The 24,240-nt window shown below is 38.1% G+C and overlaps 1 protein-coding gene and 1 long non-coding RNA gene across 6 annotated transcripts in view; both read right to left on the reverse strand.

Moving 5' to 3' along the window:
- Window positions 1–24,240, reverse strand: part of TRIM59-IFT80 (TRIM59-IFT80 readthrough (NMD candidate)) — a 258,294-nt gene that overhangs the window by 16,592 nt on the left and 217,462 nt on the right. For 2 of the 3 annotated variants that reach the window (NR_148403.1, NR_148402.1), the window contains exon 21: window positions 12,941–14,590. This is a non-coding gene — a long non-coding RNA (TRIM59-IFT80 readthrough (NMD candidate)). Of the gene's footprint in view, window positions 1–12,940; window positions 14,591–24,240 lie in introns of those variants that run through there. The other variant, NR_148401.1, reaches the window with a different exon arrangement.
- IFT80 (intraflagellar transport 80) overlaps window positions 12,941–24,240 on the reverse strand; it is a 142,240-nt gene continuing 130,940 nt past the window's right edge. For all 3 annotated transcript variants that reach the window (NM_020800.3, NM_001190241.2, NM_001190242.2), the window contains one exon: window positions 12,941–14,590. In NM_020800.3, coding sequence (NP_065851.1) covers window positions 14,480–14,590 — 111 coding nt within the window. In that variant the 3' untranslated portion in view covers window positions 12,941–14,479. The remainder of the gene's footprint in view (window positions 14,591–24,240) is intronic.

The following is a 24,240-nucleotide window of genomic DNA, read 5'->3' on the forward strand; positions in this document are numbered from 1 at the left end:
AGAATTAAAAACAAAAATCACATGATCATCTCAATAGATGCAGAAAAAGCATTTGACAAAATCCAGCATCCCTTTATGATTAAAACCCTCAGCAAAATCAGCACAAAACAGACATACCTTAATGTAATAAAAGCCATCTATCTATGACAAGCCCTTAGCCAACATTGTATTGAATGGGGAAAAGTTGAGAGCATTCCCCCTGAGAACTGGAACAAGACAAGGATGCCCACTTTCATCACTTTTATTCAACATAGTATTGGAAGTCCTAACCATAGCAATCAGACAAGAGAAGGAAATAAAGGGCATCCAAATCAGTAAAGAGGAAGTCAAAGTGTTGCTGTTTGTTGATGTTATGATTACATGGCTAGAAAACCCTAAAGACTCATCCAAAAAGCTCCTAGATATGATAAATGAATTCAGCAAAGTTTCAGGATGCAACGTTAATGTACACAAATCAGTAGCACTGCTGTGCACCGACAGTAACCAATCTGAGAATCAAATCAAGAACACAACCCCATTTACAATTGCTGCAAAAAAATAAAATAAAATACTTAGGGATATACCTAACCAAGGAGGTGAAAGACCTCTACAAGAAAACTACAAAACACTGCTAAAAGAAATCAGAGATGACACAAACAAATGGAAACACTTTCCATGTTCATAGATGGGTAGACTCAATATTTTGAAAATGACCATACTGCCAAAAGCAATCTACAAATTCAATGCAATTCCCATCAAAATACCACCATCACTCTTCACAGAACTAGAAAAAAACAATCATAAATTTCATATGGATCCAAAAAGGACCCCACATGGCCAAGCAAGACTAAGCAAAAAGAATAAATCTGGAGTCATCACATTGCTTGACTTCAAACTACACCATAAGGCCATAGTCACCAAAAGAGCATGGTACTGATATAAAAATAGGCACATAGAACAATGAAACAAAATAGACAACCCAGAAATAAAGCCAAATACTTACAGCCAACTGAAAGCAAACAAAAACCAAAAGTAGGGAATGGACACCCTATTCAACAAATGGTGCTGGGATAACCAGGAAGCCACATGTAGAAGAAGGAAACTGGATCCTCATCTCTCACCTATACAAAAATTAACTCAAGATGTATTGGGGTGATCAGACCCAACACCAGGCCATAGGGGCGACGAAGTCTGGCAGAGTCAAAGGATTGAGAAAAAGACGGTTTGAGAAGGAAAGTGGGACCAGGGGGCCATCGGGATTGTGGAGGCTGTGGAGGCTGCGGAGGCTGCGGAGGCTGCGGAGGCTGCGAAGGCCCCGATCTCTGGGAGCCCATGCTATTTATTGGTAATTCAACAAAGAAACAGGTGGTGAGAATGTGGGGGTCAAAAGGGCAGGCGCATGGTCTACAGCTGTTCTTGGTTTAGCATTTATATGGAACAAGTTCTGCTACTTGAGATAATGGGAATACAATTGATCTAAGAGCGTAGGAGGGCTAGAAGCAAGGAGCCAGCCAGTCTAGACACATTCCAGAGGACATTATGTCAGACACACAAGCCCTGCCTCAGTTTTTTTCCCCAACACTCAGCTTTTTCCCAACAAAGATGGATCAAGGACTTAAATCATATCTCAAGACCTGAAACCATAAGAATTCTAGAAGATAACATCGGAAAAACCCTTCTAGAGATTGGCTTAGGCAAAGATTTCATGACCAAGAACCCAAAAGCAAATGCAACAAAAATAAAGATAAATAGATGAGACTTAATTAAACTAAAAGGCTTCTGCAAAGCAAATGAAACAATCAGCAAACAGACAATCCTCAGAGTGAGAGAAAATTTTCACAATCTATACATCTGGCAAAGGACTAATATCCAAAATCTACAAGGAACTCAAACAAGTCAACAAGAAAAAAACAAACCACCCCATCAAAAACTGGTTTAAGGACATGAATAGACAATTCTCAAAATAAGATATATAAATGGCCAACAAACATGAAAAAAATGCTTAACATCACCTATGATCAGATGTGGTTCAAAACCACAATGCGATACCACCTCACTCCTACAAGAATGGCCAAAAAAAAAAAGATGTTGGAGTGAATGTGGTGAAAAGGGAACATTTTTACACTGCTGGTGGGAATGTAAACTAGTACAGCCACTATGGGAAACAGTGTGGAGATTCCTTAAAGTACTAAAAGTAGTTCTACCATTTGATCTAGCAACCCAAACTGGGTATCTACCCAGAGGAAAAGAAGACATGATATGAAAAAGATACTTGCATACTCATGCTTATAGCAGCAGAATTCACAATTGTAAAAATATGGAACCAGCCTAAATGCCCATTAATCAACAAATGGATAAAGAAAATGTTTTATATATATATATATATATTTTATATATATATACACACACATATATATCTATACACACACACACATATATATATGTGTATATATATATATATATATATATATATACATCTCCATGGTATGTATGGTATTCCATGGTGTATATATATGTACATATATATACACATATATATACACACATATATATAATATATAAACTCTCAAAAAAAAAGAAGAAAGGAAAAAAGATCTATTACTCAATAACTTGTGTGAAAATGTTCATAACACCTTTACTTATAACAGCCCAAGCAAAAGTAGATACCACCCAAATGTCTACCAAGTGATGAATGGATAAATAAACTGTGGCATATAAATATGGTGGAATATTATTCAGCAATAAAAGAAAGAACTGATACATGCTACATGGATAAACCTCGAAAACATTGTGCTAAGTGTAAGAGGCCAGTTACAAAAGACCACACATTGTATAATTCCATTTAAATTAAATGCCCAGGAGGGGAAAATCTGTAAAGAGAGGAAGTTGATTAGTAGTTTCCTAGGGCTGGGTGGGGGATAGGGGAGGAGACGAGGATTCACTGCTAATGGGTACAGGGTTTTTTGGGGTTTTTTTGTGTAATAGAAATGTCCAAAATTGATTAAAAATATTTTTAATAAAAATAAAATTACAAAAGTGATATTTAAACACACATTGGAGAAAATTCAGTCTTAAAATCTGTCCTTTATCTCACTACACTGAGATACTCCAATGAACTATAACCTTCCAGTCTTTTTTGTTTACATTTTCAACTCAAGTAATAACATATATATCTTCCTTTAAAAAGAAGGAAGGAAAGAAAGAAGAGAACATTACAACAAAGTCCTCTCTACTACCTTGGTCCTCAATCGCTGCCTACTCCTCTAAATTGAGATTTAACCAATGTTTGGTAAGTATATTTCCAGAATTTTCTCTGCATATTTTTGCTTCACGTGGATGTACCCAGAGTAAATGTATAGTACTGTTTTGCACCTAAGGTTTTTATTTATGTGCAATGTAATCATTTGGTAGCTTCATGTAACCATCACCACAATCAAGACACAGAACTGTTCTATCATCACAGGGCTTTCTGGTGCTACCTTTTAGCCTTAGAGCCACATCCATTCTCCCTCTCACCACTTCTTAACTTCTGGCAACCACTAATCTGTTTTCCATCTTACTATTTTTTCTTTCAAGAATGTTATATAAATGGACTCATACAGTGTATAACCTTTTGAGATTGCCTTTCTCACTTGGAATAATTCCCTAGAGATCCACCTAGGTTGTTGTGCCGGTTGTTTTCTTTTTACTACTGAATAGTGTTCCATGATATAGATGTACCATAGTTTGTTGAAGCATTCACTCATTGAAAGATACTTGAGTTGCTTTCAGTTCTTGGCTATTAAGAGTTGAGCTACTACAAACATTTGCATACAGCTTTTTACTTGAACATAAGTTTCCATTTCTCTGGGATAAATGCCCAAGAGTGCAATTGTTTGGTCATATGGTAAGTGCATGTATAGTTTTGTAAGAGACTGTCATATTTGTTTCCATAATGGCTATGGCATTTTTATATTCCCACCAGTAAAATGTAAGTGATCCAGTTTCTCTGCGTCCTTGCCAGCATTTGTTATCACTGGTTATTTCAGTCATTCTGATTGGCATGGTTTTAATTTGCATTTCCCTAATTGCTAAGCTATGGAGCTTCTTTTCATGTGTGTATTTGCCATCTGTATATTCTCTGTGGTGAAATGTCTGTTCATGTCCCTTGACCATTTTCTTATTGGATTGCTTATTTGTTTTTTATTATTAAGATTTGATAGTTCTTGGTAAGTTCTACATGCAGGTCCTTTGTCGAATAGGTGGTCCACATATTTTCTCCCATCTTTTTTTTAAGGTCAGTGTTTATTTTTATTGAAGTTATACATGCACATATTTAAGTAGGCAAATACTTCTATAAGGTTTGTTGTGAAAAACAGTAGTACTGGATCCGTTCTTCTCAACCTTCCCCTCTGCAGAAACAATCACTTTCAGCTCTTTTAGTTGGCTCTTTTGGTATTTACCTTAATGCATCTATTAATAAATAACATGCTTATTATTTACCAATGGTGGGGGAACAGTATCTATTGTCTCTCCACTATGAAAAATGAAGATTTAGCCTTTTTTACCCTTCCTTTCATCCCAAGCCCATGTATATATCCGAATTTTCACTCCAATTCCTCCAAAACAAATCTATAATCTCATATTCACAACTTAAGAATTGCAAATTTATGAACTACAAAAAGTTTTTTCATAACTGACCCAATCTGAACTCATTTGGCAGCAAAACCTGAAGAAAAGCTAGAAAACTTGAAAAGAAGCTACTATCTTTATTTATACCACTTAATGTAAATATTCGTGTGTTACACGGCAGAAATACTGATGTGTTTAGGGAATGATCGCTGCGACCCTGCTGGGGATGTTCTGTAACAAACGCATAGTGTTATCAAGAACTTTGGAATACACACCATTTTTCTTAAACAGATTTGAATTCTGAAACAGATTTGACCCAGGGGTTTTATATGTGGGATTGTGGACCTGAATAGTAATTATTTGGTTATATAAATATTCAGTGTTTAGTTATTATGACTATTAAATAGAATCTATTCACAAGCAAGTCATGTTATGATGATGATCATTAATGTCAAAACCATACAGAATTATTTTTATAGATTAGCACATTTAAATTACAGAGGAATAACATAAGCTCCTCTAATAGGAATTTATTTGATGTTTTTCCTGTGTGTTTTTTTGCAGAAGTTTAAATTGAGCACCACTTCTTTGGGGTGTTTGTGCAAATCTCATCTTCTCAGTGACACCTTCCCATTACACCCTATTTATTGATTTATTTTTAATGTTGATTATTTTATTAATATTGTTATTATTAGCATTACCTATTCTTTTTTCGACTTTATTTTTAAATTAAAAAAAATTCAATAGCTTTTGGATACAAGTGGTTTTTGTATAATTGTATAATTGGTGAAGTCTGAGATTTTATTTTATTTTTGTTTTGTTTTGTTTTGTTTGTTTGTTTTTTGTTTTTTGGAGACGGAGTCTCGCTCTGTCATGCCCAGGCTGGAGTGCAGTGGCACCATCTCGGCTCACTGCAACCTCTGCCTCCCGGATTCAAGTGATTCTCCTGTCTCAGCCTTCCAAGTAGGTGGGATTACAGGCGCCCGCCACCATGCCCGGCTAATTTTTGTATTTTTAGTAGAGATATCGTTTCACCATGTTGGCCAGGCTCGAACTTCTGACCTCAGGCAATCCGCATGCCTCGGCCTCCCAAAGTGCTGGGATTACAGGCATGAGCCACTGCGCCCAGCGGACGTCTGAGATTTAGTTCGCCCATCATCTGACTACTGTACATTGTACTTAGTAAGTAGCTTTTTTCCTCAGCCATGTTCCACCCTCCCCTTCCTGAGTCTCCAGAGTCCATTATATCACTCTGTATGCCTTTGCACAGTACACCCTGTTTAAAATGACATTCCCCCATCATCTTCCTATCTCCTTCTTGTGCTGTCTCTGTTTATTAATTCTGAAATACTATATTTTAAAATGTTTGTTTATAGTATGTCTTCTCCCCATACATACTCATTAAAATGTAAGCAGGAATATTTCTTTCTTCTCACTACTGTTTCTTTATCACCTAGAACAGTTCCCAGGCCACAGTAGGTGCTCAATAGTGACTTGGTTAATAAATGGATTTTGCTATTTGCGGTGTAGGTATTCATCAAGAATGAGGAAAGATCCTTTATTCATTGAAAACAAGTGCCAAAAAAAGGGATTTTGTCAACTTTTAATTATAAATGCTTCATTATTATAACTACTTTTCTGATAATTTTGACTGATTAATATTAAGTAGACTTAGAAGATAAAAAATTTCATTGCATAGCAGCTACTATCTCATATTGTCTTTTAAATTAAGGACAAATTGATTATAGTCCTGAACCTATTAATATAATCCTTTTAAAATTATGTTTTGTGCATTTTGTTGTTCATATTTGTATCTACCTTAAAAACACAGAAAATGAAGAGACACTAATATTATGTTAATGGTGTATATTGAAAGACAGGGCAAGAAACATTGGAAAATTAGCCATAGATTCTACTATTATTTTAATTCTCCAGCACAGTACAAATATTACTTAATCCCTACTCTATGAAATTACATCCTAGCATTTAATGCTAATCACTTGGAGGGTCTTGGCTTACAAACTCTATTGATGTTTTATAGAAGTAAACATTATTTGTTTACTCATTTACTGGCTAAATGAGTAGCCTTCTGGTACAGCCCTTGACTTGAAGACAAGAAAATACACTTTAGGTAGATATTTTATTGCTTCTTGACTGAGTCGTTTTAAACTCTCTATTTTGGCGATAATACTCTCAAAATGAAAAGGAGCTTAGAGCCACTACTTTATACTCAACTTACTAGGAAAATAATTTGTCATAATCATTTCCATGGAATTAAAATGTTTTTTCAATTAAAAGTACAAAAAATTTTAATGTGAAAGTTTCTTCACCATAGAAGATTATTAGAGTAAAAAAGAGTTTTAGATAATCTAGAACATCTGGAACTGCCTGAAAGCATGAATTGCTCTGAATTGTTTCAAAATGGTTGTTTTGAAGTGGTCTGTTTTAGAAATTACTACATTTAAAAATTTATGCATAGTGCATGCTGAGTGTATGATCCCCTGGGTTGCAAATGGCCAGGCAGTGATATTCCAGCAGCTCAAGCCAATTCACAGGGACAGAGTAACTTTAAAGTAAAGCAGACAGAATTTTTAAAAATTGACTTTGTTAGAGACTGTAAAAGGTTGGGAGAACCTCATAAATTTTCTGGCCCAGAGATCATTTACCACTGAGCAGAAGACACTGAAGATATACAAGCTAAGGACAAGAAGATGATGAGTCTTTCCAAAAGAGCTGCTGCGTGTCCTTCTTTGGTTTCCAGATGGTTCTAAAAGAAATCCTGACAAGTGATTTTCACAAAATCCTACCCACAAATTAACAAGGAGTTCTTGGTAAATAACATGAATCCATACATTGTTATTGCTGCATATTACCTCTTAATGCTATGTACATTGTAAATTCTGAATTTTGTCAGTATAAGGATTAATAAGGAAAACGTATTTGAGGTATTTCTCCAAACAGGATTTATGTAGCATGCTTCATTTTCAGAAAGGTATATATTTTCTATATGTACAAAATGACAGACATTTGAAGACTTTCTTCAATAGGGACACATGGAAATATTTTATTATAGTAAACCATTTCCTAAGGTATATTTGCTTTACAACTTGTTTAAAATTTAGGTTCCATATTATATACCATACCCTCTATACCAAAACATTTTTTTGGATCATCATATTTCAGAAATATCATTAGTTTGTAACAGGGTCAGGTCCTAAGCATTCTGGATAAACAATCTTCTCTGTTTGATATGTTTATGAAATATACGAAATGTTTATACCTACATACAAAAGCACTAAGTTGTATCAAACCCTTCTAAAATGTAAAAAAAAAAAATTGGCTTTAAACCAACTGAAAACCTTCTACAATAGATACTTTTTAAAGCATAAGACAAAAGCACATACAAGTGCAACATTGGATATGACTGAGGGAGTGACTTCCGTCACTGATTCACAGAAACTCGGCTTGGGAACAGAAAGAATGAATGGGTGGGGGATGAGGAATCTGGTTTCTTGATGACTATCTAATAACTAATACCTAATGAGACTGCACTGTGCTGCAATCAGTTACCAAAGGTAAAAATTATCAGTGGAATTTAGAAATGGTGGTAGACTCAACTCCAAAGGAAGGCGATCATTTGAATTATAAACCAAAATGTATCTGAGACAGGTCTCAATCAATTTAGAAAGTTTATTTTGCCAAGGTTAAGGACGCCCCTGTGACACAGCCTCAGGAGGTCCTTACACGTGCCTAAGGTGGTCAGTGTACAGCTTGCTTTTACACATTTTAGGGAGACATGAGACACAATCAATATGTGTAAGATGTACATTGGTTCCATCAGGTAAGGAGGGACAGCTTGAGGCAGGGGCTCCCAGGTCATAAGTAGATAAGAGACCAAAGGTTGCATTATTTTGAGTCCTTTGATCAGCCTTCCACTGAATACACAGTTTAGTCTTGCTCAGTGAATCTGCATTTTTACATAAACGATAGGGGAGAAATATGGGATTTCTGCAATCAGATACGCATTTGTCTCAGGTGAGCCTCAGAGGGATGACTTTGAGTTGTCTTTTGTCCACAAGGAATTTCCTTGTGGGCAAATTGTGAGGGAGGTATGTAGCTTTTTCTTTTTGCAACTATCTTACTTAGGAATAAAATGGAAGGCAGGTTTGCCTGACATAGTTCCCAGGTTGACTTTTCCCTTGGCTTAGTGATTTTGGGGTCCCAAGATTTATTTTCCTTTCACAGGGGACATAAAGAAACACAAAATAAAAAGAAATATAGTAAACATACAATCCCTTGGCTGTATCTATAATAGCTAAAGTTGAGAGTGAAAGAAAATGCTAGGGTGGATGTTGACCTTGAACCAAACTCAGATTTTGGTAAGTCTCAGCTATGGCCACTAGCCTCAGGCAACCCCCAAAAGGAACAATTATGCTAGGACAACAGAAGGTAGCTCTGGTCAGCTAGAGGGTACTTCATGTTGTGGGAGGGCAAACCCATAAAACTACTGAAATCAGTAGGTATAGTGTGAAGGAGCTGTTTCATTTCGTGGATAGTTATCAGCCTCCTGAAGAATCTTTACCAAAGTGGACTGTGAGAGTATCTAATTTAGGGGAAGTACCTTTGGTTTTGAATGCTGCAATGCAGAAGATTATGAGATTATGTTTAGGTTGATACAGGACCCACAGCTCACTATGGAACAATCATAGAAGGTTGTATGTGATCCAGACACACAGCAGGGTTATTCCAGAGGGAAGAGCTGGCTTGGTGGACTGGATAAAAGCCACTGTAAAGAGTGTATTTACCTTGAGAAGGACTTTCTGATTCTCTCTATAAATGTCAAGTGAAATAGCCCAGATGAAGCAGCTGATATGCTTTGTATGCAAACCACTGAAACTGGCTTTATGATTATCAGCATATTTATCTACTGAATATGGCCATTACCCAGTCATGGTAAATGCTGTTATTAAAGGGACCCCTTTTGCAAAGGCACCCCATGTAAACTTACTCTTACAGAATTCAACAACAGAGAAGGCTTATTGGATTTTCTGTCTCTGCTTTTTGATGTGGGTCATAAAGATATCAAGAACATTAATTAACAAGACAATGAGAAGAGACAGCAGAAACAAAGGATTCATTCCAGCAGGGTGGAAATTTTTAGATGGTTATTAAGAAATGAGATGAATAAAATGGGCACTGATGGGTTGAAATAAAGATCTTAATATAGCACTATAGAAGGTCGGGTGGACCAATGGGACCCCCTCTCCTGGGCCTCCAACATTAAAAGGACTCCTAAAAGTCTGCTTTATTTATCCCAGTTTGGAGGAATGTTTTTTTTTTTGTTTTTTTGTTTTTTGTTTTTAATAGAGACAGGGTCTCATTATATTGCCCAGGCTGGTCTCAAACTCCTGGCATCAAGCTATCCTACCATCTTGACCTCCCAAAGTATTGAGATTACAGGCATGAGGAGACTGACCTTGTATGGAAAATGCTGTAACCCTGTTAAACTTCTTTGTCTCTGCTTTTATAAAGGAAACCTTAACTTCTCCACTTTAGAGCACTGACCCCATTCCTTTGGAATCTGTGTTTTCCGGGTGGCTATCCTCGAGCTTTTCAAACTCTATACTTAATCTTATTTTCTAAATCTAATGATTTGAGTTTGACAACAGTAAAACAAGCCAAGTAAATCCACCCATCAAGCCATATTTATTGGACAGGATAAATGAGGATGAATGAGATTCCCAACCCCACACAGTCCATAATAGAAGCTGGAGTGTTGGTCTGGACAAACTCTTGGTGTAATCACCCTGCATAGAGCAGAGGGCTTCTGCAAAAGCCCATGAGTGCCTCACAGAAACAATGACTGGACCATTTAGATGTTGGACTAGAGAATTCCCATTTGAGGGGCAATTAATAGCTTGCTGTCAGACATTAATTGAAACTGCCTCTATGACTGAAGGACATAAAATAATTTTGAAAACTGTAATATCCATCATATCTTGGTTGATGTCAGAGAAACACTAATGAGGAAGAAAGTGTTTGGAAGCGCTCCATAATAAAGTGGAAATGATTTGTATAGGAATACATACTGGGGGGATGTAGTGTACTCATCAGCTGGTAGACACTTTTCCCCTAGGACTGCCTTTGGAAGCCCCCAAGGAGCTGCCAGATTCTGTCATCACTTGGACAATATGCCATAAACAGCTCGTTTGATCAATAAATAGCTGTTTGGTTTATGGATAGCAGTTCCAATGTGATCAGACAACATCATTACTCTGATCAAAAAATGTAAAACAAAAAAAAATTTTTTTTTTTGAGACAGCATCTTGCTCTGTCATCAGGTTGGAGTGCAGTGGCATGATCATGGCTCACTGCAGCCTCTACTTCCCTGGCTCAAGCAATCCTCCCTCTTGAGCAGCTCGGACTACAGGTGCATGCCACTACGCCTGGCTTTTTTGTAGAGATGGGGTTTCATCATGTTGTCCAGGCTGGTCTCAAACTCCTGGGCTCAAGCAATTCCCCTGCCTCAGCCTTCCAAAGTGCTGGGATTACAGGCATAAGCCAGCGCACCCAGAGTAGAATGTAAAAACAAATCAGCTTGGTGGGCTCTATTGCATGCTATTTATTCTTATGTTTGGGTTTCTACATACTCATTGGCGGTGGCCAGTGGCCTGGTCATATGGTCAGGCAGAAGAGCAATGGAGATTGGTCTATTAAAGGGATGCCCTTACACGGCATGGCCCTGTGGAAATCATTATGGGAATCTGAGTGGTGCATTAACGTAAGACATGTCAGTGCTCATAAGAGGACCTCCCTTCCAGCATCAAAAGGTGATTGGAGTCCATGAGCAGATATCCAGTTTATTCACTTGATATAACCACCTGGGTCCATAAAATGACTCTGGGGGAGCTGCAGCAATACATAGATGGCGTGAATATAGACATGCTCGTCTTACATCTTCTGAGGAAAAAACTACCAATAAAAATTGTTCTGTCTGCCAAAAAGAGAGACAGAGACTCCAGATAGACGGCCAGGGGGCAGATTTCCCAGGGAGAAGGCCCTACACATAGAGAACAACTTACACTGATGCCAGTGGCCAGTGGCCATCGGCGAGCTACAAGTGGGTCCTGACAGGAGTAGGCACTCTGGACTGGGCTTTGCTTACACAGGGAGAGATGCAAATACTTAAGAGTATCAGTTATGCCCAGTCAGGTATGATCCTTTTACTATAAAAGATCCTGGGTCAAAGACAAGGGTGTGGTCTGTGATAATCAAAGAATATATATGGTCTAGTGAAGGAGGGTTCCTGGCACAGATCTCCCAAAGTCCTTGGAATTTCCTGAGTGATAAGAATATCTTCATTATGCTAAGAAGGTGACTACTAGGGGAGAGTCTAGATAGCTTCAGAATGGGGGTGGTTGCCAGAAAAACTGACCACGTAATTAGAGTTTAAGCCACTAGACCTCTGGGCGGAGGAGGGGGCTGGAGACTGAGTTTAATTGCATGGCCAATGTTTTAATCAATTATGCCCATGTAATGAAACCCTAATTTAAAAAGAACTAACGAAACTTCAGAAAAGTAAGGCTCGGGGGAGCTTCCTAGTGGGTGAACACATTGATGTGCTAGGAAGATGACATGCCTCGATTCCACGAGGAGAGGACATGGACGTTCTATGTTCCCTCCACGTTCCCTCCCCCAACTTTTTCCCAGACCATGCATGTCTTCCATGTGGCTGTTCTTGAGTTCTATCATTTTAATAAAACTGTAATTGTAAGTAACGTGTTTCTGTGAGTTCTGGGAATCTTTCTAGCAAATTATCCAACTTAAAGTGGGGTTGAGGGAGCCTCCAAATGTGCAGCCAAGTCAGACACAAGTGTGAGTAGCCTGGGGACTCTGATTGTGGCTGGAGTCTAAAATAAGGGCAGTCTTAGGGCAGGTGCGGTGGCTCATGCCTGTAATCCCAGCACCTCGGGAGACCGAGGAGCACGGATCACTAGAGGTCAGGAATTCAGGAGTTTGAGACCAGCCTGGCCAACATGGTGAAACCTTGTCTCTACTAAAAATACAAAAATTAGCTGGGTGTGGTGGTGGGCACTTGTAATCCCAGCTACTTAGGAGGCTGAGGCACTAGAATTGCTTGAACCCGGGAGACGGAGGTTGCAGTGAGCTGTGATGGGGCCACTGCACTCCAGCCTGGGTGACAGAGCCAGACCCTGTCTCAAAAAATAAATAAACAAATAAATAAATAAAGGCAGTCTTTTTGGGAACCTTGCCCTTTAACTTGTGGGATCTGTTTCTAATTCTAGGTAGTTAGTGTTAGAATTGGATTGAATTCTAGGATATGAGAGAATTGTTTAGAACACAGACTTTTTATTTTTTGCATTTATTGTGGTAAAATATACATAACATAAAACCTTTTAACCATTTATTTTTAAACATTTTAAGCTTCTTATTGAAATATAACAATATAGGAAACACATACACAGTACAACTTGTAAGTACACTGCTCAATCAGATTTCATCTGGATCAAGAACAGAATATTCCAATATTCCGGAAAAGAAAAGAAACATGTTAAAAAGAAAAGATTTTTATTTAAAAAACCTAGACATAGTAATTAAAATGGGGGTTAAGAGAGGTAATCTCTCTATCCCTTTGTGTGTGTGTGTATATATATATATATCATACATAATCCCATATCTATGCATCTATACCCACCCTATAATGTACCATTTTCAGAAATGGGTTTGCAGAAGACTTTCTAAGGGGTATTTGTTTTATTGTTTAAAAGATTATGTGGTAATAACTTTGGGATACACTAAATAGAGTAATCAAACAAGTTTGTCACCCAAGGAAATTTTCACAAATTCAGACTTCAGGGCCTATTGACTGATCATTCTCAAGTCAAGAGAGGAATGAGGAGAATCCTTCTTGCCCATTCTAGATATATTTTTTAAATTATGATAAAATATACATAACAAAATTTACCATTTTAACCATTTTTATGGGTACAATTTAGTGGCATTAACATTCAAAATGTTGAGCAACCATCATCGCTATCCATTTCCAGAATTTGTTCATCCCAAACAGAAACTATGTACTCGTTAAACAATAACCCCACCCCCCATTTCCTCCTCCCTGCAGTCCCTGGCAACCACTATTCTCCTTTCTGTTTCTGTGAACTTGCCTATGCTGGTACCTCATAAAAGTGGCATCATATTTGGCCTTTTGTGTCTGGCTTATTTCACTTAGCATAGTGTTTTCAAGGTTTATCCTGAGGTAGTATTTATCAGAATTTCATTCCTTTTTAAAGCTAAATAATATTCCATTGTATGTATTATAGCACATTTGTTTATCCATTCATGATAGACACTTGAGCTGTTTCCATCTTTTGCTATTCCAGTAATGCTGCTATGAACTTGGTGTATAAATAGTGGCATTTTATACATTTGTACAAATCCATCCTCATGTATTTTTGTTCTATAAATAAACTTTTGGAGGCATTTTACAATTTAGAGGTCAAATAGAAATTAATGGTAACATACATTTCAAAGAGTCCAATGTTTTATTATCGACATTAATATTTGTTCATGCTGAAGATTTAGGGATGAAGTAATGGGCAAAAAACTGACATATAATCGACACTACACAGGTATCTCTTAAGTACATAGTAATATTTTGCTAATTATTGGACTAAAAAATATAAAAGATAGAAATACATCAATTACTTTGTGTTTCATCTTTCTGCATGTACTTTTACACTAAATACACAGCAAGTACTTATACTCGGTTAAAGATTATGCTTTTTTCTTTAGCAACCAAAACATGCTTACCCTTGGTTAATCAGAACGTGTTTCAAAAGATAAAATTTCTTAAAGATACGCATGGCATTTAGGGCTTTAAACCTATACTCTTGCTGGATTGGCTGCTTGATGATTGCTCTCTTTCTTTTGTAATTTCCATCTCAATTTTGGCTTTGATTTTCTCCCAATCTATTTGGAGCTGCAATAGAAAAAAAAAAGAAGAAATATGCTTAGATAGTGTAAGACATTTTTGTTTACTCCAAAGTAACTAAGAGTAAACAGATAGACTGTGTGACTTCCAAAAGATTAGAGAAAAAGAGAGCATCAAAAGATTAGAGAAAAAGAGAGCATCAAAGTTAAGAAGAAGAAATAATGCTTGGCCAGGCATAGTGGCTTACTCCTGTAATCCCAATAGTATGGAAGGCTGAGGTGGGTGGATTGCTTGAGTCTAGGAGTTTGACAACATCCTGGGCAACATGGCAAAGTTCCGAGATGGGAAAATAAATACAAAAAATAAAAAAAGTAGCTGGGTGTGGTGGCACACACCTGTAGTCCCAGCTATTAGGGAGGCTAAGGTGGGAGAATCAACTAAGCCCTCAAGGTCAAGGCTGCAGTGAGCCGTGATTGCACCATTGCACTCCAGCCTGGGTGACAGAGCAAGGGCCCTGTCTCAAAAAAAACAAAAACAAATAATGCTCAAAAACCACAAAGTAGTTTTAAGAATAAGACCAAAAAATAAGAATTATATAATAAAAAGCAAAGACTCTCATTGTGATTTAAAAGACCAAAATCTAGTCACAGCTATTTATAAAGGTACATCTAAACAGTCCCATGGAGCCTTAGGATTGTGTACACGTGCTCAGGGACAAGGTAGGGGATGAGATGGACCGCTGTCTTCCAAACGAGGAAAAAGTGGACCGGACTCTGGTTACCAAGCCATTTTTCAAATAGGCTTCACATCTTATATACTGCAGTTTCCACTGGAAGCCTAGTTATGAGGAAAGACAGGGATTCATTAGCTTCCCCTAAGCATATTCTGTGAAAGTGGCTCCTTTGCACCAACTCTTAAAGTAAGACATGGTGGTCATTAAGACAATGAGGAAAAGATGTTAGAGAAAGCGAAGGGAAAGCAAGACTGGGAAACACATGAAAAGAATAACTGCAAAGTGCAAACATTTTTATTTGTTTGCTTCCCTTCTATCCGTTATGCAGTCTCCCCTCCCCTAGCCCAGCCCTATTCCTCTCTTAAGTTCATTAGACTTGTTAGGAATAGACTCTGCCCCTGAGTTCTATGAGCAACTTCTTTAGGAAAGCACATTCTACCAGTTAACAAAGTTTGGAGATCACTAATTTAGGAATGTTTATCCTTTCTGAGGCAAGACATGGAAAAAATTGGGTCATAGATTAAACTAACTCTGATTTACAGGAAATAAATCCAAACCCCTGAGTCTGGGCCAAAAGTGAATAGGTTTTCACCTCTGTTTAGGGGAGTTGAATGGAATAAGTAGTATTAAAGCAGAATGAAGTAATCTCAGTCTGCTTGAACAGATTTAGCTTAAGTAAGTGAGGGGTTAATTTAACTTTAATAGGACTTCATGCCTCTTTTATGCTGGAGGTTAAAGAAATTAAGTATTTTTTTTAATTCCAATATCCCATACCTGAATTGCTGTGAAGCAATTTGTAAATATTTTGGCTCACCTTTATTTAAAATAACAATGCCATATACTTATGTATAATACATAAAATAGATGAATTAATAAACGAATTCCTCTCACTCATAGAAGACAAATGTCTGTGCTAAGATGCAAGTGACAGCTCATTGAAAAGCCAAGCAGATGTTAGATTATTTGAAAGACTCATTTTTTCAATCAGGGCAAAATCTGATATTTTTTAAACGGCAAAGCACTCATTTCTATGTCTAACAAAACACTTATAGAGAAGACGAAACTTGATGGATGCTTTGGGTTTCTTCCAGCCTTAAATTGACTTACATACATTTCTCAAATCAATCACAATAAAACCATACATTGATAATATACTGAACAACTGCTGCTCTGTTGCAAGTAAATTGATGATATCTGTATTAGTTATTTGTTATAATACAAATCAGGGTGTCAGTGGATAGCTGTCCTACTGAAAATAAATGTTTCACTTTCGCTTTGGCATTGATCTAGTTTTAAAAAGTGTTCTACAGATAATTTAGTTCGTGGATTAGAATATTTTTAATAGTAGGTTTTAGATAAGAATGTTCTCTGATAGTTGTCAAGTGATTTCTACACTAAAATCCATCTTTTGCTAGTATAGGGACTGCCAATATTATCTGGCACTCCTTATTCTACTCGCTAGCCAATTCTTAGTCACCTATAAGCAATTTCAAAATCATACCAAAAGGCTCTCCATCCTCTAACACATTTCTCTTTCTCTTCCTCTCAGCTGAAGATCAGCTTCCTACTTTACAGAGAATATAGTGGCCATGAGGTATGAATTCACTTTATTTTCCTTCCTTGCATTCACGAACTTACCTGTATCTACACCCATCATTATCTTTCTCTTCCGTCTCAGGCCAACCTCTTAACATATGTCTCTGATTCCATTTTCTTTGACTCCTCTAGGACATCTGACTTCAATTATTCCTCACACATTAAATGTCCTTCTTTTCACTGACTCGCTCTCATCATCCTTGGCTCTCTATGCTGTCTTCTCCCTGCAAGCTACCATCCTTCTTCTTCTCATTCCTGACTCTCATTCTCTTCCCTGTCCACTATAATTCTGATCCTGTGACACTTTAAGAACTTTGCACTAAAACCACCTTCGGCTGTTTTCAGTCCTTATCTTATATACCTTCTCTGTATGATTCAATTTTTCATTCAACAAATATTTAGTGCTTAGTATATATCAAGGATTGTCTGAGGTACAAGGATTCACCAGTGAACAAAAAGATAGAAATCACTGTCTTCATAGAGAGATAATAAACAAAGATAAAAATGGAAAGGGCAGATAATAAACAAAACAAAAAATATATCTAGTATGCCAGAAGCGGTAAAGATTTTGAAAATAGAGAAGGGAGATAGTGAGCACCAGGAATAGAATAGGAGGTTGCAATGTCATCAGTTTACTTCACGGGAGGCCAAGGCAAGAGGATTGCTTGAGCCCAGGAGTTCAAGACCAGCCTGGGCAACATAGTGAGACCCTGTCTATACAAAAAAATAAAAAATTTAGCTGGGCTTGGTGGCATTCATCTCTAGTCCCATCTACTTAGAGGGCTCAGGTGAAAGGATCGCTTGAGTCTGGCTATGTTGAGGCCACAGTAAGCTGTCATTGTGCCACTGCACTCCAGCCTGGGCAACAAAGTGAGACCCTGTCTCAAAAAAAAAAAAAAAAAGGGGGACCTGAAGGAGATGAGTGAGACCCATGTGTATATCTGGAGAAGGGCATGGTGACATGCAGAAGTACACGGACGGCCCTGGAATAAGAGCCTTCTCTGGACCTTGCTGACCACTGCTCTTTGAAAAATCTCTCAAGACTGTATAATACCATTCTCTTCTGGCTCCTGCTCTCCTTTCTAAATGCTGCTTCTTTCTTTCTCTCTCTTTTTTCCCTATATTCTGCTCCCTAGACAATGTTGGAGAAGAAATATAATTTCTCCTCAACGCTTGTAAGTTTATTGATGGGAGAGATAGGTGAAAAGAGAAAAACAAGCCGGTTCAATAATATGTGCAGTGTACATCACAGCAGGAGAAATCTCAATGAAAGGTAACTCAAAACAGTGTCTTGGAACTCTGGGTTACATAGCATTTTCAACAAAGAACAATAAATTTTAAAGATGTGACAAGACTGTTTTTAGAGAAGTGAAAACAGTTTTAGGCTTCCAGAGATTGGAAACCATGGGAAAAAAATATATGGGAAGAAACTAATCAGGTGAGGTTTGTTCTATTTTTGAGACAGGGTCTTGCTCTGTCACCCAGGCTGGTGTGTGGTGGCCCAAACATGGCTCACCGCAGCCTCAACCTCCTGCTGGGACCACAGGTGTATGCTACCACACCTGGCTAATTTTTTAAATTTTTTTAGAGACAAGGTCTCACTTTGTTACCCAGGCTGGTCCTGAACTCTTGGGCTTGGCTTACATGATCCTCCTGCCTTGGTCTCCCAAAGTGCTGAGATTACAGGGGTGAGCTACCACGCCCAGCCACGGAGTAAGGTTTTTTGGTAGATTGCTCTGGAGTCGTCCCTGAGCTGACAAGAGTTGTCTCTAGTAAAGGAGAATTTATATTTTGTCTTTAGGAGGAAAAGGGGGAGAATAGAGCTCTTCCATTTGCTGCAGCTTGTCTTTAGCTCAAAAATATAAGTGTCAAAGAGACATATTTTGGGGTGTCATATTTTGGTTTCCTTCAACAACCTCTTAACTGTTAATATTCACCAGGGTCCAACCATAGCTTTCTAACACTTTCCCTAAGAAATATCAATTCATATAGCTTCAACTATACCTAGATGGTCAAGGCAATAAATTTAGTTTTCTAGCCCTTATTTCTCCCTTGTCAATGTCCTTTTGTGTTCATATTTATATTTCTAATTGCCTGCTAGATACCTCCTTCTGGACACCTGATAGACACTCTAATCACATACAAAATGGTATATTTTCATGTATTCAAACTCAAAGGTCCAAAATGTGTATATTCTTATGTATTCTTTAGATTAATGGCATTCCCATCTATCAGCTGCCCACACTAGAAATGTTGAAGTCATTCTCAAATGCCCTGCCTTACCTCACCACCTCTCCTCCCACCCCCAGTCACCACAACTGTTCTCTTAATTTTACTTCTAAAATTTTTCTTAAATTAATCGTACCCTTTCCATTTCCTAATGGGATTATTATAGTAACTTCCTAACTAGTCTCCTACTCACCACGCTCGCCTCTAAGCTATCTTTCACGTCTGATGTTATCTTTCAAGTCATTCTCTTGATTACAAATCTCCAAGTCTTCCCATTGCCTTCATTACGAAGTCTATTCTCTTATCCTGGTATTAAGACCTTTCAATGACTTTTCCCAACCAGTATTCCAACCACCCAGGGTCCAGAGCAGTCACTCAGGATTCTTCCTCATTCATTCAATAACTCGTACGTTTGCTCTTATTTTCATCTCCTTCAAGTGACTGGCAAAATCTTAAGATAATTTTGTAAAAACTGTTGTTTCCATTTATTTTTAGGAATCAGGATTTTATTTTATTATGTATTTCTTTATTTTTATTTTATTTTTTGTGGGGACGGAGTCTCACTCTGTTGCCCATGCTGGAGTGCAGTGGCGTGATCTCAGCTCACTGCAACCTCCAAATCCCAGGTTCAAGCAATTCTCCTGCCTCAGCCTCCCGAGTAGCTGGGACTACAGGTGCATGCCACCACGCCTGCTAATTTTTTGTATTTTTACTAGAGACGGGGTTTCACTGTGTTAGGATGGTCTCGATCTCCTGAACTTGTGATCTGCCCACCTCGGCCTCCCAAAGTGCTGGGATTACAGGCGTGAGCCACTGCGTCCAGCCTATTTATTTTTAATAGAGACAACGTCTCACTATATTGCCCAGGCTGGTCTTGAAATCCTGGGCTCAAGTGATCCTCCCACCTTAGCCTCCCAAAGTGTTGGGATTACAGGCTTGAGCCACTGCGCATAGCCAGGAATCAGGATTTTATATTTTTTGGGAGATGGAGTCTTGCTCTGTTGCCCAGGTTGGAGTGCAGTGGCGTGACCTCGGCTCACTGCAACCTCTGTCTCCTAGGCTCAAGTGATTCTCCCACCTAAGCTTCCAGAGTAGCTGGAACTACAGGTACATGCCACCATGCCCAGTTACTTTTTTTTTTTGGTAGAGACAAGATTTCGCCATGTTGCCCAGGCTGGTTGCTGAACTCTTAGACTCAAGCAATCCTCCCACCTCAGCCTCCCAAAGTGTTGGGATTACAGGAATGAGACTCTGTGCCTGGCCAGGGATCAGGATTTTATTTTATTTTATTTTTTGAGATGGAGTCTCATTCTGTGGCCCAGGTTGGAGTGTAGTGGCACGACCTCAGCTAACTGCAACCTCTGCCTCTGGTGCTCAAGTGATTCTCCCACCTAAGCTTCCAGAACTACACCTGCAGCTGGAACTACAGGTGCATGTCACCATGTCCAGCTAACTTTTTTTTTTTTTTTTTTTGGTAGAGACAGGGTTTAACCATGTTGCCCAGGCTGGTCTCCAAACTCTTAGACTCAAGTGATCCTCCCATCTCAGCCTCCCAAAGTGCTGGGATTATGGGTGTGAGCCACCGCACCTTGCGGAATCAGGATTTTAAAAGGAAAAAGTGATCATGTTATTGCCCTCCAATGGCTTCTCTTATTTAATTTGCCCTATGAAACCCTAAAGTCAATCCCTCCATTGCTTTTACTCTTTCCTACTTTAAAGCCTTCCCTCTCCTGGAACATGTTATTCTCATCTCCTACCCAACCTCTACCCTGCAGTGAGCTTCTACTATTCATCCTCTAAAGCTGAGTTCAAATATCATGCTCTTTGCTAGAACAGTCTCTGCTGATTGCCTCACCATAGGTCAGGACCCCCATTCATAAAGTCTTATAGCACCACGTACATCTCCTTCAAGGCAATTATCACAATTGAAATGAACAATTACCTAGACAACTGTCACCTCCATTTGAATATAAACTTCATAAAGCCAGGGCCAGTGTCTGTCACGTTTACTATTATATCCCAAGCACTAAGGAGAAAACACTGTCTACAGGAGGCACTCAATAAATACTGAATGAATAAAAGGTAAATAATTACCCAGCAAATCAGTAATCAGCTAACAACTCCTCACTATTAACAATTCCTCCAAACTTAAAACCTGTAAAGCAGCTTTTCGGTAGTAGCTAAGCCTAAAGTGGTTTGTCCTAAGTAGAGTGTTGACTCAGATCTTCAAAATTTTAAACTTTCTGAAATCCTGCTCATGAGTTTGATTTCTTTCACTCTTTTTCTTTTTCCTAGCAAATGTCTGAAGTATTTCCCAGATCTACTTTTCTTCTTGTGCAGAGTATATATTTAATATAATAAATGTATTCTTTGAGTGGATTTTATTTGCTAGATTTAAAATTTGTTTTATAAATATTTACAGAACACTATTGTAGACCAAGTACAATAACTCTAAATATCAGGGTTGTTGGAAAACAGTACTCCTTGTAAAAATCCCAGATTGCCATATTTTAAATTAGAAATGGCCAAATAACATTTCAGGGCTCATAAACTAAGTGTCTATCAAACTTCTCACTTCTTCCCTTATGGTAGATTCCATTCATTTATAAATTTCCAGATGGTATGCATTGTGAGCCCACCAAAATCACCAGATATCTAGAATAAATTTCTCAATGTTATTTTTAAAAGACCCCTTTCTATTTAACTCTTAGTTCTGAAATAAAGCATTTATATAATCATAAGTCTGGCAAAGATAAATATGGATGATATATTATGACTAGATTATAGACTTAAATGAAACCAAAAGGTCAGCAAGTAATGCAGATATCCCCAAGAGCTATTTTCCCAGGGTTACATTTTATTTCATTGGTGGGAAATTTTTAAGAAAAAAATAATTTTCATCATAAAATACTGCTTTATGATTTTTAGTTAACTCCAAATGACATTTATGAAGAAAAGTAGGAAACGAGAACATAGTACCATAGGGAGTCAAAGTAACCTATATAGTTTCTGGATGGAAAAAAAAAACCCTAAAATACCTAAGAAAGCCATGTTGTTCTGGTACTCTTATGATTAAAGTATTATATTTTGGTAACAGTTGAATATATGTATAATGAAAAAGATGATAAAGATGTTAATTTTTGCTATCTAAAATATAATTTTCTTCATAGTAAGGACTTTCTTTTCTTTCTCCTCCCCCCCCCTTCTTTCCTTCCTTCCTTCTCTCTTTCTCTTTTTTTCTTTCTCTCTTTTCTTTCATTCTGACAGGATCTCACTCTGTCACCTAGGCTGGAGTGCAGTGGCATGATCTCAACTCACTTCAGCCTTGACCTCCCAGGCTCAGGTGATTCTCCTACCTCTCCCAAGTAGCTGGGACTACAAGCATGAGCCACCATGTCCAGCTAATTTTTAAATTTTTTGTACAGATGGGATCTCACTATGTTGCCTAAGCTGGTCTCAAACTCCTGGACTCAAGTGATCCTCCTGCCTCAGCCTCCCAAAGTGTTGGGATTATAGGCTTGAGCCACCACACCTGATCAGAACTGTATTTCCTATGTTCTCAAAAGTATCAAATGTGAATATTGAAAAAATATTGATGGCGAGGAGGAAAAAGCAGAGTAGTTTAATCTGCTTTAAAATTATACAATAAACAAGGTGGGTGCTCAGTTTTAACATATGATCATATATTCAAAACTGTGACACAAAGATCAGATTACCTGACCTTTGTGTCACAGTTCTTTGGGCTGCTTAGCACTGTTTTGGTGGTGGCTGCTGTCATATATTATGAATCAGAGTGTAGCCCCAGAGATCCCAGGGATGCTGTGTTTGTCCTAATAGTAGAGTATGCCCAAACTCCCAGGATTCACTTCAGTACTAAGCAGGTTCCAAATGAAATCAAAAAAAGGTTTGTGGAGCTTCTAAAAAACATATCTCCTTTCTACCATGAAACCCACAACTTGTAGCTATCCTGGATCCAGATGTCGAAGTTGCACTGCTAAACTCTAAGAATGGTCTCAAAGGCCTCACTAACATGAAAATTGTTCTGAAGTGCAAAAATGTAGATCAAGACACTACGTATTCTAAATACAATAAGTAGATAATGTTGGCTTTAATAGAAATTGTGGGTGCCTTCTCTCTATCTTCTCTCCTCTTCCTAAGTCTCCTCTAACCCAGTCTGCCCCTATGATCAATCAGAACATTCCATTTTATTCTACACCAAGAAGGTATGCTCCCACATAATCTATAAGCTCCAAAGAGACATAAGAGGCTGTATCTGATTTTAACCCCTAGCATAGTGTCTAGGCCAGAGTGAGATATCATACATTTTTTGAATAAATGAATGAATAAAAGGCTAAAGAAAGTGGTTCACAGAGCTGAAAGAAAGGTCAGCCCTGTCTTGTAATCACAGCTCTTAGGAGTCAAGCTTCTTGGATCTATATGGCTAGTGACATGAGCTCTGTTTCTGCTGTCTGAGCCTAAAAGAATCTGGCTAAGTGGCTATAATCAGTTATGCTCTAGGCAATGGGGCAAACTCATTCTGGGTCTCCTTGTGGGCTGATCTATACTGGAATGACTTCCTTCTTTTTATTTTTATTTGTTTATTTAGAGGTGGGGTCTTGCTATGTTGCCCAGGCTGGCCTTGAATTCTTGGGCTCAAGCAGTCCTCCTGCCTCAGCCTCCCAAGTAGCTGGGACTACAGGCATGCACCACTGCATCCCAGAATGACTTTCTTCTAATTAGAGTAATAAAATCTGAGATTCTGGTAGGAGCCTGGAAGGCAAAGGCTGAGTCTTCTTTGGTTCTAGGTAGTGAAATCTACCTAGGCTAGGCACTTCTAGGAGGTGCAACCTAGCTTTCTAGAATTCTACAAAGTGACCAACTATGCATTTTCTGGTCAGTGCCCTCTGTGCATATATATTTCCCCTACAGCAGAAGAGGCAGCTTGTGGCAGGTGAAATTTAAGAGTTAGAAGCTTTTATTCCACCCACGTATATTATTTATCTAAAAATATCAAATAGCACCCAACCTTAGCACAAATGGAATATTATGAAGACAGACTTGAGTTAATCAAAATATGCCTGCAAGATTCCAGAGAAAAATTTAGTACTATAATTACAGTCAAAATAAGATGTCATAAGGC

This window comes from Homo sapiens, chromosome 3 (genome assembly GCF_000001405.40).
Source record: "Homo sapiens chromosome 3, GRCh38.p14 Primary Assembly".
Lineage (NCBI taxonomy): Eukaryota > Metazoa > Chordata > Mammalia > Primates > Hominidae > Homo > Homo sapiens.